The 18,023-nt window shown below is 49.8% G+C and overlaps 1 long non-coding RNA gene across 2 annotated transcripts in view, besides 2 other annotated features; it reads right to left on the bottom strand.

Annotated features, from left to right (window-relative positions):
- Nucleotides 4,809–18,023, bottom strand: part of LINC02594 (long intergenic non-protein coding RNA 2594) — a 41,895-nt gene continuing 28,680 nt past the window's right edge. For both annotated transcript variants that reach the window (NR_184089.1, NR_184090.1), the window contains one exon: nt 4,809–6,138. This is a non-coding gene — a long non-coding RNA (long intergenic non-protein coding RNA 2594). The remainder of the gene's footprint in view (nt 6,139–18,023) is intronic.
- Nucleotides 8,827–9,696: an enhancer, noted in NCBI's record as "H3K27ac-H3K4me1 hESC enhancer chr17:41779239-41780108 (GRCh37/hg19 assembly coordinates)". NCBI's record gives its function as "activates a minimal SCP1, AML or CMV promoter by ChIP-STARR-seq in primed H9 embryonic stem cells {active_cell/tissue: H9 hESC(primed)}" and the evidence as "EXISTENCE:reporter gene assay evidence [ECO:0000049][PMID:30033119]".
- Nucleotides 9,814–9,973: an enhancer, noted in NCBI's record as "active region_12248". NCBI's record gives its function as "activates an Ori minimal core promoter by ATAC-STARR-seq in GM12878 lymphoblastoid cells {active_cell/tissue: GM12878}" and the evidence as "EXISTENCE:reporter gene assay evidence [ECO:0000049][PMID:35858748]".

The raw sequence follows: 18,023 nt of genomic DNA, 5'->3' as shown, positions 1-18,023 counted from the left end.
GGTCTGAGCATCAGACAGGAGAAGGACAGGGCAGGATGGGGAGTCTGAAAACTACTGGGACAAACCATTACCTGCCAAGGAGAGACCTGACCCAGACACACAGGGCTTTCCACTGCCCCTCAGGCCTCCACATATCTCCTGTCTCCAGAGATGCAGCCTGTTTCCCCAGGGGCTGCTGGGAAGCCCCCCACTTTATCACTGGAGGGTGTCACACTCAGAATCACCTCTCCACCCAAACCGCCAACCTCAGTCCCAGGATCAGGCCTGTGCCTCTGGCTGTCTCCCCTCAGGTGACGGTCACACCCTGTTGGGTGCCCCGCCTGCGAGGACGGAGGAGCCATCACTGTTCCAGCTGCCTGGAGATCTTGGTGCTGGTGCCAGCCCTCAGCCTCAAGAGGTCTTTCATGGTTTCTTCCTTGAAGTTCCTCACCTCCACGGGCAAACAGAAGCCCACATTCAAGGGAACTGCCCAGATGGGTAATGGGTACATGCCCTTGGGCCCCATTGGATGAAAATGAATGTAGAATGAGGAGCCAAGTCACTCACTCTTAGGTTGGTCTTTTCTTGCTTTGGCTCGTGTTTCCCACAAACGCTGCTGCCATGGTTTGAATGTTTGTCCTCTCCAAAAATCATGTTGAGGTTTAGTTGCCATTGTGATGGTATTGGGAGGTGGACCCTGCCCTCACGATGGATGAATGACTCATGATATGAGTGAGCTTATTATCATGGGAGTGGGTTTGCCCTTTCCTGCTCCCTCTCTTTCCCTTTCTCCCTCTCTTTGCCCTTCCACCATGTGACACCCTCTGGCATGTTATGATGCAACAAGAAGGCCCTCACCAGATGCCGGCTCCTTGATTTTGGATTTCCCATCCTTCAGAACCATGAGCCAAATAAATTTCTGTTTGTTATAAATTACCCAGTCTGTGGTAATCCATTACAGCAGCACAAAACAGACTAAGACAATTGCCTACTAGCAGGCATCCCTTTCCACCACCCTACTCAGCCATTTCCAACCCCTTCAGCTCAATCCCTAATCTGGAATATTGTCCCAGTGCCTCCAGTTCCTACAACCCAATTCGTTTTGTACTTTGCGATGGCACCATCCAATGAGGGCTCAAAGTCGTCTTCTCTGGGTGTCTGCAAGGTCCAACTAAACCCCACTTTATAATGTGGTCTTGTTTATGATGTCATGCATGGTCTGTCTCCCCATAGACCCCCCGGGGCACTGCCCACATCTTACACATCATTTGAACACCGTGGTACTCCGCCCAGGGCCTGCCTGTCAGCACATGCTCAGAAACATGTGTTGATCCATTTCCATTGTTCATTCAACCCTTCCTGCACCTGAATAGGCTCTTGGTTGCAAGTGACAGAAACAACACTAGCTAAGAAGCAGCAAAGCAATTAATTGGAAGGATATTTATGAGCAAAAGGAGTCCATAGGGAGGGAGCACCAGGATGGGAATGGGCAAGGGAGGCCAGGGGACAGGAAACCAGCCAGCTTCAAGTCTCATGAACGTGGGTTAGGGAGGCTGCCCAGCCCTGCTCCTACTGGCCACCACTACCACCCCTCGTGAAGACCACTGCTGAGTGTGAATTCTGGGCAAGATGGAGGAACATCCGATTGGCCAAGCCTGGGTCACATGTCTAACCCCAGATGGAGGTGGGAGGATGTGGCCTCTCCAACTTTTGTGGTGGGGTCCCTGACTTCCCCCACCAGGCCTACTCGGTAAAAGACCCCACACCCCTAGGCCGGGCGTGGTGGCTCACGCCTATAATCTCAGCACTTTGGGAGGCCAAGGCGGGTGGATCACCTGAGGTCAGGAGTTCAAGACCAGCCTGACCAACATGGTGAAATCCTGTCTCTACTAAAAATACAAAACATTAGCCAGGCATGGTGGCACGTGCCTGTAATCCCAGCTACTACTCGGGAGGCTGAGGTAGGAGAATCACTTGAACCCAGGCAGCGGAGGCTGCAGTGAGCCAAGATCGCACCATTGCACTCCAGCCTGGGCAACAAGAATGAAACTCCGTCTCAAAAAACAAAACAAAACAAAACAAAAAACCCACACCCCAATGTGGGAGGCTGAGCAGCTCCCCAAAAGACAAATGTCTAACAGTTACTGAGATTGTGTTCACTGTGTGCCAGGTGTTACTCTAGGCACTGACGTGTGAAGATGAGGAAGCCAGGCCCCTGCCAGGCAGCTGGCTGAGAAAGCAACCCCAGCTCCATTCATCATTTATGGGGCACCACTCCATGCCAGGTTCTTGCCCATGGGCTTTCTCAGACATCATCCCATTTAATCCTCACTGTGGCTGGGGCTGAATTAAAGGGGCTAGTGAATGGTCAAGGGAGCAGCATGGCTGCCAAGGAGTTAGGGCAGCATCACAGAGAAGTGACCATCTGGCAGGGACTAAAATGGACTCAAGGAGGTTGAAAAAAGAGAAAGGCCTTCTAGGCAGAAGGAACAGCATGTATAAAGGCACGGAGGCCTGACAAAGTCAGAGAGGATTCAGGCCATCATGGTTTCTTGGTGTGGCTGGAATATAGGAAGCAAAAGAGGCCTAGAGGTGGCTGTTGCAGGTAGCTCATGCTAGCAATGAGCAGGCCTTGAATAAAAACAGCCAATATTTCTCAAACACTTGGTAAATGCCAAGCCCTCTATGAGGCCCTTTACATCCATCATCTCCCCCATCAGGCAAGCACTATTTTTATTCTGAAGATGAGGAAACTAAGGATAAGAGGGGTTAAGTAACTTTTTCAAGGTCACACAGCTAGCAAATTGGAAGAGGCAGGATTTGAACCAAAGTTTGTGTGTTCAACCACTGATGGTGCCAGAAGGAATAGGAGGAGTCCATGTACCTACCCTGATCCTTTAAAAAAAAAAATTTTTTTTTTTTGAGACAAGATCTCACTCTGTCACCCAGGCTGGAGTGCAGTGGGGTGATCACAGCTTACTATAGCCTCGAACACCTGGATCAAGTGATCCCTTCACCTCAGCCTCCTGAGTAGCTGGGACTACAGCTGTGCACCACCACACCCATCTAATTTGTTAATTGTTTTTTTTTTTTTTGAGACGGAGTCTCACTCTGTCTCCCAGGCTGGAGTGCAGTGGCATGATCTGGGCTCACTGCAACCTCTGCCTCCTGGATTCAAGTGATTCTCCTGCCTCAGCCTCCCGAGTAGCTGGTATTACAGCCACCACACCTGGCTAATTTTTGTATTTTTAGTAGAGACGGAGTTTCACCACGTTGGCCAGGCTGGTCTCAAACTCCCGACCTCAGGTGATCCGCCCACCTCGGCCTCTCAAAGTACTGGGGTTACAGGTGTGAGCCATCACGCCTGGCCTTTTTGTTAATTTTTTGTAAAGACAGGGTCTTGATATGTTGCTCAGGCTGGTCTCAAACTGCTGGTCTCAAACTCCTGGGCTCAAGCGATCCTCCCACCTCAGCCTCCCGAAATGCTGAGATTACAGGCATGAGCTACTGCACCTGGCCCCTTCCCTGATCCTTCCCATCCCCAGAGACTGTATTTTGCAGGATTCCCTATTCCCCTACCTCCATGGAGAGTGGCCTCCATAGCCTAGGGAGTGTGGCTTGTCTTACCCTCACTCTACCAGGTCACTTCAAGGAGGTCATGGCAGAGCTAGCTCCTTTGCACCATGACATTAAAAAGTCAGTTCCCTGTTACCATTCTCAGTTTTGTATTCAGGAAAAAGGAACTGGCCAAGCTGCATAGAACTTTTTATGGACAGAGAGAATTGTTGAAATGATAAAATACAGTCTGCTGCTTTTGGCTGGGTCATTTCTAGGCACTTCCACTTAGAGGGACAGGTACAGAAGGCACCCAGCAGGGCAGCTTCATGCTTAGGGTTTGGCCCTAGGTCACCTGGGTTTGGATCCCAGCTGCCCCATTTCATAGTCATGGGACTTTCGGCATGTTATTTAACCTCTCTGGGACTCAGTTTTCCCATCCATAAAACAGAGAATAACCACAGTGCCTGCCCTATAGGGCTTAGGAGGTTTAGAGATGTTTGTAAAGTATCTGGCATGTAGTGAGTACTAAAAAAAGAGAAAAAAATGCAATTTGGGCCAGGCACCATTATTATTCTCCATCCATCTTCACAATAACCCGTGTGTGAGGCAGGAGGTGTACCCATTTGACAGGTGGGGAAACAGAGGCTCAAAGATATTAAGTGGCCCTCTCAAGTTCACTCCCTAAGTGGAAGAGTGGGAATTCAATCCCAGATGTGTCCAATTACAATGTCCGTGAGTTTTACATGGTCCCTCGCTGTCTCAGGGCTTCTATGCTGGTGCACCTCGCCAAAATGTCACTTGCGGCTGAAACCACATTGTCTTCCAGATGATCAGCTATTGCACCAGCAACGCAGGGCAGGAGCCAAGAGCACTGTGCTGGGGGAGCATCCAAGCCCCCCCACGTGAGCACGCCCAGCCCAGGCACTTGTCCCTGCTGTCTCAGGTAAAACTTTGGAAACCTCAACCCCTAATTACCGCCTGGCACAGGGCACCCGGTGGTTTCCGGATGGCTTGTATTGACTCGCGCAGTCTTCATAGGACATAGGTCTGAGCTAAATTTAAGCCCCGTCACAGACAATTTAACAGTTTTCTGTGGGGGGGTAATTGAATGGTAAACCATAATTACCGATACAACTGATACCTTAATTCCCAAAACAATCTGTGGAGGTGTGTGGAATTCAAATCAGTCCAATTAGAATTCTATCTTCTCATAATAAAATACAGCATAATTGCTAATTGCCCCCTGGCTCACAATATTTTAAGGCAGAAAGTTGGTTTTGTTTTTTAATATGGCTTTTGTTTTTAATTTTGGGCTGTTGCACATGAGTGGGAAAGGATCCAGGTCTCTGTACTTGGGACAAGACGCCCAGGAGAGGCCAGCTATGCACAGGGCTCCACCGATGTCGGAGGTCTGGCTCTTGGAAAGGCCAGGATGAGCTCTTTTGATAGAAGCCACCTGAGCTGGAAATGACCTTTGGGTTGACAATGCATTCTGATGAGCACTGCAGTCAGAAGTTCTAAGTGAGACTGTAGGATTTAGGGCAAGTTTCTTAACCTGACTCAGTTTCCTGATCTGTACAATGGGTGTAATAATTGATCTTCGTCTGTGGGTTGTTGGGAAGATTGACACAGTGCCCAATATATGGTAAACACTCTAGAAATGGTAGCTGCTGTTATTAGTATAAATTCACTCACTCATTGACCCAGCAAATACATACTGAGTACTATATGTGCCAGGCACAATTTTAGGTGCTAAGGACATAACGGCAAACAAAACAGATGAAGCCCCTGCCGTTTGTGCAACTTCTACTGGGGAAACATGATAATAGACAAATGAATACATTAAAGAATCTGGCCTCTGCGAGAGGTCATGTGATGTGGTCAAGGAGGATGTCTCTGAGGAGGTAGCACCTAGGAGCCTGAATTTACCAAGAAGGAAACTGAGTCTCAAAAGTTCAACTTTGGAGGACCGGGCATGGTGATTCATGCCTGTAATCCCAGCGAGCTGGGAGACCAAGGCAGACAGATTGCTTGAGCCCAGGAGTTCAAGACCAGGGTGGGCAACATAGCTAGACCCTGTCTCTGCAAAAAATTTAAAAATTAGCCAGGCGTGGTGGTGCATGCCTGTAGTCCCAGCTACTCAGGAAGCTGAGGTGAGAGGGTCACTTGAGCCCAGGAGTTGGAGGCTGCAGTGAGCTATGATCACGCCACTGCACTCCAGCCTGGATGACACAGTGAGGCCCTGTCTCTAACAAAAAAAAGTTCAACTTTGGGCAGCAGGTGCACACCGCAGATGTTTGGGAGAGAGGGGCAGGAGGATAATCTTCAGGAGAGGGAAGGAACAATCTTAGTGGAAAGGCACTAGGTGGTCAGGCAGCAGCTGCCATGGAGAAGTCATGGGTTGCTGAACTGTTGGAATCCCAGCTCTCTAGCTTTAGTCCGAAAGGCTCCTCATGATGACCTGAAGGTCGCTGTGGAGGAGAAAGTGCCCAGGCAGTGGAGCTGGAGAGACCCAGCTTCAGATCCTGGCCCTGGGTGACTTGCTGTGTGGCCTCAGACACCTGCTGCATCTCTCCCAGGCTGCATCTTCTCTCCTGTAAACTGGGAACAAGAAGACATAGGTCACAGGGTCATTGGCAAGGTTGTGTGGGACCATACTTGTCAAGAACATGGCACACATTGGCACTCAGCAAGTGCCAAGTCTCCTGAAACTGAGGCTGAAAGAAAGGAAGTGACTTGTCCAAGATCACACAGTGAGTTGTGGCAGAGAATAGGCAAGCTTGGGTCCAGTGTTCTCACTCCTGATAGCCAAGAACACAGCTTCTCCCGCGGCCAGCTAGAGGGTCTTTGCAGGGCAATTGCTGATAGGCAGCAGGTCAGAAAGGATTTCAGAGGAGGAAGGATTAGGATCAAGCAAAGAGACACCCCTATTTGGCATGCACCTGAGTTAGTGCAAAACAAGCCATTCAGATTTCAACTTCCGGCATTCATTTACTTTCAACAGCTAAGCATGTTGGAGATACCTCCTAGGAGCTACAGAGCTGACTTGCGGGGTAGAGGGAGGCTGGAGGTATGGGAAGGGGGCTGTATGGAAAGGAGACATATTTCCCCAGCACAACCCCGTCTGGCATTCCCAGACAGCCCCGCCTCTCCCCATTTGACAAATCCCACTTCCCGCCTGGGATCCAAGGGGTCTCCAAGATTAAAAATCTGGTCACCCACTGGTTACAGCGCAAATGGCTCCTATTACGAGAGGGCTCTAGGGGCCTGGGAACCCAGCAAGGGGTGGGCAGGCGCCTGCTGACACAGCCTTACCCAGGGGCAGGCCCATTCACTGCCCACACAGAGGTGGGAGGTGGGGGCCCTACCTGGGGTCCCTGCACCTCGACAGTAATTACTGCTTTCTGGCTGGCCACTGCCCAGACCACCTTGTTGATGGGAACTTGGTCCCAGGCTGAACAGGGCTTGGCCCTACTGCTCAAGGGCCCCCCCTTCCCACGACTGAGGCATGGGGGAGGGGTGTTGGCGGGGGAGGGTTCAGACTCCCAGCAGCCTAAGGAAGAAGCAGCGAGATTCAGGGACAGTGGACGTAGAAACTGGGACTGATAGTCTGGGCAGGCTCTTAGGGTTTAAATCACACTTTTAGCCAAGGGACCCCCCGGTGCACCCTCAGAAGTCTTCTGGATATAACTTCAGACACCTGGGTCCCCTAATGCATAACTACCGTGACAGCAGGTATAACTGGTATGTCAAACAAGCATAACTCCTAGGATCATCAATACACAACTTTATTTTTGTCTCCTACCTTCCTTTAGACTTTCTTTAGTGCAAGTAATCTCCCCTGTTTCTGAATTGGAACTCCCGCAGGCCCATAACTTTTCTGCCCAATCCTAGGTAGAATAGAGTCCTGAAGTTACTTTAAGTCACAAGAAACATCTCAGTTCTGATGCTAGAATATCCAGTCCAAGACAGTGACCAAAACTGAACCTGATTTAGTGACAAGCTTTCCCCCTCCCGGGTGGGCAGCCTGCAGTGAGAGAGGAGGCCAGTGGCATTTTCCTCAGTTTCTCAGCAGTGCCGTACCCAGCCTGGTCTTCAGCTCTCTGGGGTGGAGCCTGGGGAGAAAGAGGGGGAGGCCAGGGCAGTCCTACCCTGGGAAACAGGCTTTGGGCCTCTGGCTGGCCTTGGCCTATGTCTAACACCAGCTCTTTAGGCCTTGGTTAGGAGAAAGTCAATACATTTCTGGGTTTTGTGCAATATTCCTGTAGTAAGAATGGTCCCCTAGAGTAACAATGACTAAAACAAGATAATATCTACATTCATACTCTGACACAATTCTCACTTATTCTGCAAACTCTGATTAAAGGTCCATATGTGATTAACGCTGGGATAGCCCTGGAGATGCAGAAAACAGCCTTGTTGGGATGTTTGATGCCCTTGGCTTCATCACCCATCTCACAATGACCAGAAACTCAATGACACCCAGGTGAGGAGAAACTCATTTTTATCCCTGTTTAGTCAATAACCAGGAAGCACGGGGCTTACAATCTAGAGAACACTTCTAAAGACTACATCTTCAGCAGTACCCACTTTACTGATGGGGAAATAAGCCTCAGAGAGATTAACTAATGTGCCTAATGATATTTGGTAACTGACAAGGTTTAGACTCTAACCAAGGTCTTCTGGTCCTAACTTCAGAGTCCTGTGCACTTAAGACCACAATCTGACTCTCTTTTGTTGTCTGTGTGAGAGAAGAGTGAGGCAGGGATCTGAGTACATGAGAACGAACCAGGGAGGAAGGGCAGGCAGGCTAAACTCTCCCCGGGATCAGCAGAAAGCGGCCAGGACTCAGACACTCACTGTGGCCATGGAAGCTGCAAGGCAGATTTAAACTCCAGACATTTGAGACACCACGTAAGCCCTCCAGTACTGTAATATTTTTGGCGAGAGGAAGATGCAAGGAACACTTAAGATTTGGAATTGTTAACAGCAGTGAAAACACTACTTGAAAGCTGAAGGGAATAGCATGATGCCTGCTTGCAGCTCCCAGCTCACATTCATCCCCTCAGCCACCCAACATAAGGAGTTTATTTTCCCAAGAGTTCAAACAGGAGTCCCAGAACAGATCCTCATTGGCTCAGGCGGGTCACATGTCCCTCCCTAAACCAATCACTATAGCTAGAGGATTTGGAGCCCTGATTGGTCAGGCCTGGGTCATGTGGTTGATTTGGAGTACGCAAGGTGGAGTTAGCTCCCCGGCCCTACTTACAATGTGGGTAGGGAAGAGCTCTTAGCAGAAGGGGGAAGGGGGAACGGGAAATGGGAAATTAGATAAGAAAGAGGGCTTTGTACCACAGAAGGATTTCTACTTTATAGATTGGCAGTAGGAGCCCACAAATGCTTTCACATGGGAAAAGACATTTTCAATGTTGGGGGTCATGAAGGTGAATAAGGCAGCCAAGAAATTGTTGCTACCTAATCATTAGGTGTCAGTTAAACATGCATAGTATCGGCTGGGCGTGGTGCTGTAATCCCAGCACTTTTGGAGGCCGAGGCAAGTGGATTGTCTGAGCTCAGGAGTTCGAGACCAGCCTGGGCAACATGGCAAAAGCCGGTCTCTACAAAAAATGCAAAAATTAGTTGGGTGTGGTGGCACTGCCTGTGGTCCCAGCTACTCGGGAGGCTGAGGTGGCAGGATTGCTTGAGCCCCGAGTTGAGGCTGCAGTGAGCTGAGATTGCACGACGGCACTCCAGTCTGAGTGAAAGAATGAGGACCGGGCGCGGTGGCTCACGCCTGTAATCCCAGCACTTTGGGAGGCCGAGGTGGGCGGATCACGAGTTCGGGAGATCGAGACCATACTGGCTAACGCGGTGAAACCCCGACTCTACTAAATATACAAAAAATTAGCCGGGCGTGGTGGCAGGTGCCTGTAGTCCCAGCTACTCGGGAGGCTGAGGCAGGAGAATGGAGTGAACCAGGGAGGCGGAGCTTGCAGTGAGCCAAGATCACGCCCCACTGGACTCCAGCCTGGGCGACAGAGCGAGACTCCGTCTCAAAAAAAAAAAAAAAAAAGAATGAGACCCCATCTCTAAAAAAAAATAAAAAATAAAATAAACATGCATAGTATCTATTAATGTAAGTTACTCGGCAATATGGACAATGAGTAAGAGGGTAAAATCTGGTTCTGTCACTTACCAGACTTTGAAGGAGTTACTTAATTTCTCTTTGCCTCAGTTTCCTCATCTGCAAAATGAGGACAGTAACAATAACTGCTCCTAGGTTTGTTGTGCAGATTAAACAAATGTATACACCGTAAGGCACTTCAAGAAGGGGTAGTCAGAGTGTTTGCTTCAGTTCCCAGGAGCTGGGAGACCTCACATCCTGGCGGAGCCTCTAGTTCTGGCTGCACAGACCTGACTAGCCTGGCCTGGCCGCAGTAGCTGGCCCTGAGTAGTGACCCGCTCGCCCGCTGCCCTCGGAAGCCTCACTTGGCTGACAAACAGGAAGGTGGCAGGGCTGCCTGCGTGCCCTTGCCGCCCCCACAGCCCTGTGTCTGGCCCCAACCCTCATCTCTACTCGCGGCTGCGGTGAACTTGGATGGTGCTACTCTCACCACAAACCACAGTCCGTCACAAATTGCCGTGTGGTGAGTAGCGAGCACATTTATAATTGATGAAATCAGGGGGTGAGAGCTCATCGCTGAGATGCTCAGTAAACAAAGACCTGGTCCTTGGGTGGGGGAGGGGGTGCTTGAGAGTAAACAAGGGGACAGGAATGTTGGGGGGCTTAACTCTCCTGGAGAGTACATGAAAGGTCTCACCCACCAGCTTTTGTTTTTATTATTAAGCTTATTTTAAAGAGTTTCAATCCTATAGAAAAGTTGCACGAATATATAGACTCACATAGATTCCTTTTTTTTTAGAGACCGGGCCTCAGTCTGTCTCCCTGGCTGGAGTGCAGTGCTGCAATCATAGCTCACTGCAGCCTCAAACTCCTGAGGTCCTCTGATCATCCCACTTCAGCCTCCCAAGAAGCTGGAAGTACAGGCGTATACCACCGTGCCCACGTAATTTTTACTTTTTTTTTTTTTTGTAGAGATGGGGTCTCACTATGTTGCCCAGGCTGGTCTCAAACTCCTGGCCTCAAGTGATCCTCCTATCTCAGCTTCCCAAAATGTTGGGATTTACAGGTGTGAGTCACTGCACCTGGCCTAATAATTATATTCTTCAGTCTTTTCTTACTAGTCTGTTCTTAGTCTCATTCTGTTTAACCATTTGTGAGTAAGCTGCAGAGATCATGAACTTCCCTGCTAAATACCTCAAGGACATTTTCTTACATACCTATAAGAATGACTAACGGCCGGGAGCGGTGACTCATGCCTGTAATCCCAGCACTTTGGGAGGCTGAGGCGGGCAGATCACGAGGTCAAGAGATCGAGACCATCCTGGCCAACATGTTGAAACCCTGTCTCTACTAAAAGTACAAAAACAAGCTGGGTGTGGTGGCACCCGCCTGTAGTCCCAGCTACTCAGGAGGCCGAAGCAGGGGAATCGCTTGAACCCGGGTGGCAGAGGTTGCAGTGAGCCGAGATCACACTATTGCACTCCAGCCTGGTGACAGAGCAAACTCCGTCAAAAAAAAAAAAAAAAAAGAATGACTAATATCAGAAAATGTAATAACACAATACTAATATAAAATCCATGTTCAAATCTCACCAATTATCCAATACAATCCTTTTTAGCAACTCTTTTTTCCCAATCAAACCTGATTAGCCTTTCAATAGTCAAGGTCCCAGGTAATTGTCACCCTTGGTCCCCCACCCCACTGGGGGCTAGAATCCCACAGTCAGGTAGGAGTGATGAAGCTGTGGTCAGATCAGAAAACAAGGCCAAGCTTAGGATAACAGCTGGAGCCAGATGTAGAATCTGGCTAAGTAAGCTCTGGGAGCCCTGGAAGCTGTTTCCAGAAGGTCCCCAGGGATGGGAGCCCAGGTGAGCAGGGAGAGAGGCATGGAAGCTCTTACTGGGATCCCAAGGGAGACAGGAGGCTCTCACACTTCTGTCACAGCAGCCAAACCCTGGGCATGGACAGGTGGGGACAGGAGAGATGTTAGGAAGATAGGGAGGAGATCATCAACATTTCAGGCACAGAAGCTGGCAGAAGAGAGACACCTTTGTCATCTGTATTATGCTAATTGGTTAGTCTGTATATTTATTTAACAAATGTCTATTGCACCCTTACTGTATGCCAAAAACTATTTTAAGTGCTGGGGATACAGACCCAGTTCCAACCTTAAGGTGTTTATGTTCTATTGGGAGATGGGATAGTTTGCACTGTTGTTGTGAAAACGGTCACCCCCCCATCCCCTCCCACTCCCCTTCACAACAGGTGTAAGAGAGTAAACTTGCCCAATCCACTGCTATTACACTTGGCCATGAGACTTCTTTGGCCACTAGAATGTTAGCGGTGTGTCATGATCACCCTTAACCGTGCTGTGAGGTTTGGCTTGGCTTTTAAGTTCCTGCCATTCTCCAAGACAAGCATGTGCCCCAGGGAGCTGCTGGTCCAAGGAGAATGGAGAGAGACATGGAGTCCACCCAAACCCAAGCCATAGCCTGGAGCTGCCCTGCTCGGGCTGACACACAGACTCACAAATGAGAAAGATCAGCACTTGTTTGGAGCCTCTGAGTATCGGGGTGGTTTGTTACACAGCATCATTTCAGCAGTAGCTGACTAAGATGGGTGGAGACAGAATATAAACAAGCCAACTAAGACATGTGTGATGTCTTAGTGATAAGAACAGGAAGACAAAGAAAGCAGGAGAAGAGGAAAAGAGTGGTCAGGGCTGTTATAGATAGGGCAGCCAGGGGAAGCCCCCTGATAAGGGAGCAGAGATCTGAAGGAAGTGGGGGAAGGAGTTATCCAGGGCAGGAATTTCTCAAGGAGGAAACAGCAAGCGCGAGGCTCCCCAGGCAGGCACAAGCTGAGCCCAGGAGCAAGCCTGTATGGCTGGAGCAGAAGGAGCCAGCAGGGATAGGGTGGAGTGATAGGAGATGGTTCAGAGAGGAGGCTGGGGCCAGATCCAGTGGAAAGGACTTAGACATTTATTGGACTTGGACATCATCTCGTATAACTTGTTCCTAGCTGTCTGATGAAAGAGCGGACATGCAGAAAGGGCGCTGGCTGAGCTCCCTGGTTTGGGATGAGTACTGGCAGTGCCAATGTCAGCCACATTCAAGCCAGTGTTCCAGGGGCCTTCTCTCAGTCTCATGCTCCTGCTTTTCCTTGAGATTCTCCCCTCTCTTGTCCCCTCCCTATCTTGGCTCTCTACCCACCACCCCAACACCTCCAGCTCCCCCTCTGCTCCCCCTTTTGCTCCCCTGGACCTTCCTGGCTCTCGGCCTTCAACCCTCAGCCCTCAGCCCCTTTGGCTCTCAAGGTGGGGACCACTCCCACCTCTCCAGCCCTGTCTTGGAGCCCTGGGCATTCTGTCACTAGCTCTCTGCTTGGTCCTGTCCCTCAGGTGGCCTGTGGTCCTTTCACACTGGACATGCCTCAAACGGAGCCCATCGCGAGGGGAAGGGCTCTCAGGGACTATCTGAAACCTCGGGAGCTTCGTAGACCCCTCTACAAAGGGGAGCCAGTGGCCCAGCCAGTGGCTTTATTTTCCTAAGATACTGATTTCAACATGTCACTCCCCAGCCTTCTGTCTTGGATGGCAGCTCTTCTCTATGGGATGAAGGAACCCTCCTCGGCCCAGCACTGAAGGTCTTCTACCGTCTGGTCTCAGCTCACCTTTGCATCGGCTCCCACCGCCAGCCAAGCTGGATGCCCTCCCACCCCATGCCTCAAGCACACCCTGCTTCTAGGTCCTTACTCACAGGGCCCTTTGCTCAGTGGGAGTTTGCTGAGGGCCCACTGTGTGCGGGCGCTTTCCAGGGTGCTAGGCACAGAGGAGCAGCTGGCAGACTTACATTCGTAGAGCACACTCGGGTGCCTCTGCTGCGCCTCCCTGCACCTCCCCTTCCTTCCCTTCCCTCAAGGCTGGTCACCTATGGCCTCCACGACCAATGTCTCCCTGCTCCTTGGTCATTGGGAAGGTAAGCATACCTTGCCTTGTGTCTGATTGTTCTTTTAAATGAAGATTTCCATTTTTAACTATAGAAGTGACACATCCTCATTGTGAAAAATATGTAGAATGTGGAAAAGAAAGAAGCAAAAGAAGTTATATAACCTGGCTAAGAACATGGAGAAGCTTCTCTTAAAAAGAGGTGTCCTCAGCTGCTCGCCTTCCACACGCCTTCCTCACAGAGGAGGCAGCCTTGATTCCTGGGTGGGAAATGCCAAAAATGACGGAATCAAAGCCTTTTCTGGAAGCGGGCAGAGATTTCTAGGGGTGGGGAAGAGAGAATATAGAACTTAAGAGAACTGAGCTCTTGATGGAAAGTGGGGGTGGGGAACACAGAGGGGAGGCCCAGAGACTGAGAGGTCTAGGAGAACGGGTTAAAACCGAGGCCAGAGCCCCGGAAAAGGAGCCCAGAGGCCCCAGCTCTTTCCCTACTTACTTACTGTATCTGTGTGACCTTAAGCGAGTCCCTTGGTCTCTCTGAGATGCAGTATTTTCCCAAGTGAACGGGCATTGCCACACTTCACCTCCTCAGGGCGTTGTGGGGACCTTCAAAGCCGTAAAGCCCTTTGTAAATGGTAACGCCTAACACAAATAGGAGAGCACGCTGCCCTCTCTGGGTAGGCCCCTCATCTGGGTCCTGGTTCCAGTCTGGTACTGAGCCTCTGGAGGACAAGGGTCACATTTATTCCAATTTCTCTTCTGCATGCCCCAGTGCCCACTGAGCACAGTGGGAATACAAACACATTTATTATGCACTCTGCATATGACTAGAAGGAACTTTGGAGCTCAGATCCACCCTTTACACAGATGGGGAAAATCAAGGCTCACACCACAAGGTGAGCTTGGTGGTATCTTTACAACTCCAGGTAGTGACAAAACCAGGATGCAGATTCTGAGGAATGAACGAGTGAGAGAATGAAGGGAAATGGGGCAACAGTCAGCATGAGCAAGGGCTGACCTATGGTGGGTCTTAGCCTTTACTGTGCTCAGTGGCCCCACAGCACCATCGTCTCTCCAAGGAGCACGGAAGCAGCCCCCCGTGTGGGGTATGGGCACAGACCCCAGGGCCCAGGCAGGCAGGGGATGTGCCAGTGGTCCTTGCCACGGGCCACCAGCTTTGCCACCCTGCTCCAGGGCCCTGGCCTCTCCCCAGGGTGCAGGACGCCACTCCCAGGCACTCTGGCTCCGTTTCTTACCAGGCTGCTCTGGGATGGCAGCATCCCAGCATCGCTATAAATAGCATCTCTCCTGGGCCCCAGACGGCCAGTTGGCAAACACTATAATTTGCTGAAAAGTTTGGAATGTGTCTAAAAATGAAGAAGGCAAATGAGACCAGCCATGAGGGGGAGCAACCGGCGTATCCATTTCAGAGAGGGGCTGAGCCTCACTCCTGCTTCTTGCCAACTTCTTTACAAGGGCACTGCAGGCAAAGCTTCAGGGAGAGGGGACAAATATGAGTCTAGGAAAGAACTATTGTCATTTCCAGCATCAGCTGTGGCGGCTACCTCTTGTATTGGCCTCACCCCTGACCTTCCTGTCCTAACCAAAGAACGAGAGGAACTGCCACTGCTTAACCCTTTGTTGGGCTGTGCTAATGAAATTGAAGGGAACATGGTGAGCATGCGAGGACTGTGAGAGCCAGAAAGAAACCCCCAAAATAATTTCATTCAATAGTTTCATCCAAACTCTCCCAGTTTGCAAATGAGGAAGTGACTTGACAAAGGCCGGGCACCAAGTTGAAGCAGAACCAGATTTTGGCCAAGGTCCCTGGGCTCCCAGCTGGGTGCTGGGCATTGGATCCCAGGCCTGCTGTGAGGGCTGGCTCTCTTAGGGAAAGGGGAAGGGTCCCATGGCTCTCCCATCATGCTGAAGGTTGACACCTGACAAGTCACTGCAGCTTTCCCTTGTTCTGCTCTGATTCTCATTCTACTCTAAGGAGGCACAGCCACCATTATCCTGATTTTATGGCTGAACAGGCCGAGCTTCAGGGTAGAAACTCATCCTCATCCACAAAGCCATGGGAAGGCTTGATTAGAATTTACCACTCTGTCCCCAGACACTCTGGGCTGTTCCCACCTTCAGGTAGAACTCACTGCCTCAAAAGCCACCTTTTACTGTTCTTTGTCTTATCTTCTGGGATTGTGATTTTCCCTGTAGGAAAAATCATGGACAATGGCAGTAGACTGGCGTGGTGGCTCACACCTGTAATCTCAGCACTCTGGGAGGCCAGGCAGGTTGAGACCAGCCTGGCCAACATGGTGAAACCCTGTCTCTACTCAAAATATAAAAATTAGCTGGGCGTGGTGGTGGGAGCCTGTAGTCCCAGCTATCAGGGATGCTGAGGCAGGAGAATCGCTTGAACCCGGGAGGTGGAGGTTGCAGTGAGCCGAGATTGTGCCACTGCACTCCAGCCTGGGCAACAGAGTGAAACTCCATCTCAAAAAAAAATTCTGAAGTAGAGCCCCAGATCCAGCAGTCTCACTGTATGATCTTGGGCAAGTCACTTCCCTTCACTAAGGCTGAATTTATCCTTATGTAAAACTATAATAAAAATAAAAGCTTCCTTTGGGAGGCCAAAGCGGGCAGATCACGAGGTCAGGAGTTTGAGACCACCCTGGCCAACATGGTGAAACCCAGTCTCTACTAAAAATACAAAAACTAGCTGGCCATGGTGACAGGCACCTGTAATCCCAGCTACTCAGAAGGCTGAGGCAGGAGAATTGTTTGAATCCGGGAGATGGAGGTTGCAGTGAGCCGAGGTCGCACCATTGCACTCCAGCCTGGGCAACAGAGCGAGACTATGTCTCAAAAATAAATAAATAAATAAAAATAAATAATAAAATAAATGAATGAATAAATTAAAGCTTCCATTCACAAAGCACATGGTCACGGGCTTTATGTGCATTTGTTCTCTTTGTCTTCATAACAATCAGACGGGCAAGATATATTCCTATCCTATTTTACAGATGAAGAAATTGAGGCAGGGGGTTAAGTGACTTGTCCGAGATCACATCAGATTTTCACAAGTTGGAAACTCACTGCACCAGATGCTCTGAGGTCCTTTACAGCCTTAATAATTCTGCCTTTTGTGGTTCCAAACACAATAGAAATTAGCAATGGCTCGCTTGGTAGTTCTCAGCTCTTGCCAGCTGAGAGGCTTCATTTGGGGGCAGAAGACAGGGAGTAGGGAGAGTTCACATCTGTGAAAAGTCTGTACAGAGGAGGAGCCAGGATGCCCGGTCTTGGCCTGTCAGCCAAGGCCCTCTCTCTCTCTCTGCAGAAGGCACCTGCCGCCCTGTGGGGCCGCTTAGTGAGAACTGTGGCTGAAAAGCGACATCGTGTGTCCAGTTGTAGAACTGCACTGTTAGAGAACTCCAGGACAATGAGGAGTGGAGGGAAATATTCTGTTGTTGTGGACTTGAAGGCGCTTTTAAATTATTTGTAAAGTTTTAAAAACACACAGGTGCCAGAACCTCAGACCTAGAGAACCAGCATCTCAAGCAGTAGGACAGAGACCTGTTTTTTTAAGACTTGGGCGATTCTGTGGCAGCCTAGCTGAGAACCGCAAGTATAGACAGCTTTTAAGGGGGTGCTGGTATGCTGGTCAGAACTTCTCAGCTGCAACACCTCCACCTGGTGTTGCACTTCTGTCTGGGATACCAGAATGTTCTAGGCAGCTGACAGAAACAAATCCATTAGACATTATTTATAAAGGAAAATCTAGCTGCATTGTACATTTGATTTGTGCTTTGTTAAGAAATAAAATGGCCGGGTGCAGTGGCTCACGCCTGCAATCCTAACACTCTGGGAAATGAAGGCAGAAGAATTGCTTAAACCCAGGAGTTTGAGACCAGCCTGAACAACATTGGGAGACCCTGTCTCCACAAAAAAAATAAAATAAAATAAAATAAATAGCCGGGCACAGTGGCGTGCCAGCTACTGGGGACGCTAAGGTGGGAGGATTGCTTGAGCCCAGGAGGTCGAGGCTGCAGTGAGCCATAATTGCGCCACTGCACTCCAGCCTGGGTGACAGAGTGAGACCCTGTTTCTTAAAAAAAGAAAGAAAAGAAAAATAAATAAAATGGCAGCTGGTAAAAAAAAATGAGTATAGAAATAGATTCAGTTATTTTAGAGAAATGTCAGTGAAATTCAGTCCATGTATAGAGGATACAGAAATCTTTTTTATTTTTTTTTCTTTAATGAAGTGGCTCTCAACTGGGAGCAATGTCTGGAGACATTTTACGGCTTTCACAACTGGAGGGTGCTACTGGCTTCTAGAGGGCAGGGGCAAGGGATGCGGCGGAGCATCCTGCAATCTACAGGACAGCCCCCCACAACAAAGAATTACCCGGCCCC

This window comes from Homo sapiens, chromosome 17 (assembly GCF_000001405.40).
Source record: "Homo sapiens chromosome 17, GRCh38.p14 Primary Assembly".
Lineage (NCBI taxonomy): Eukaryota > Metazoa > Chordata > Mammalia > Primates > Hominidae > Homo > Homo sapiens.
Note: the sequence above shows the minus strand (reverse complement) of the source record. Positions and strands in the feature narration are given on the sequence as shown.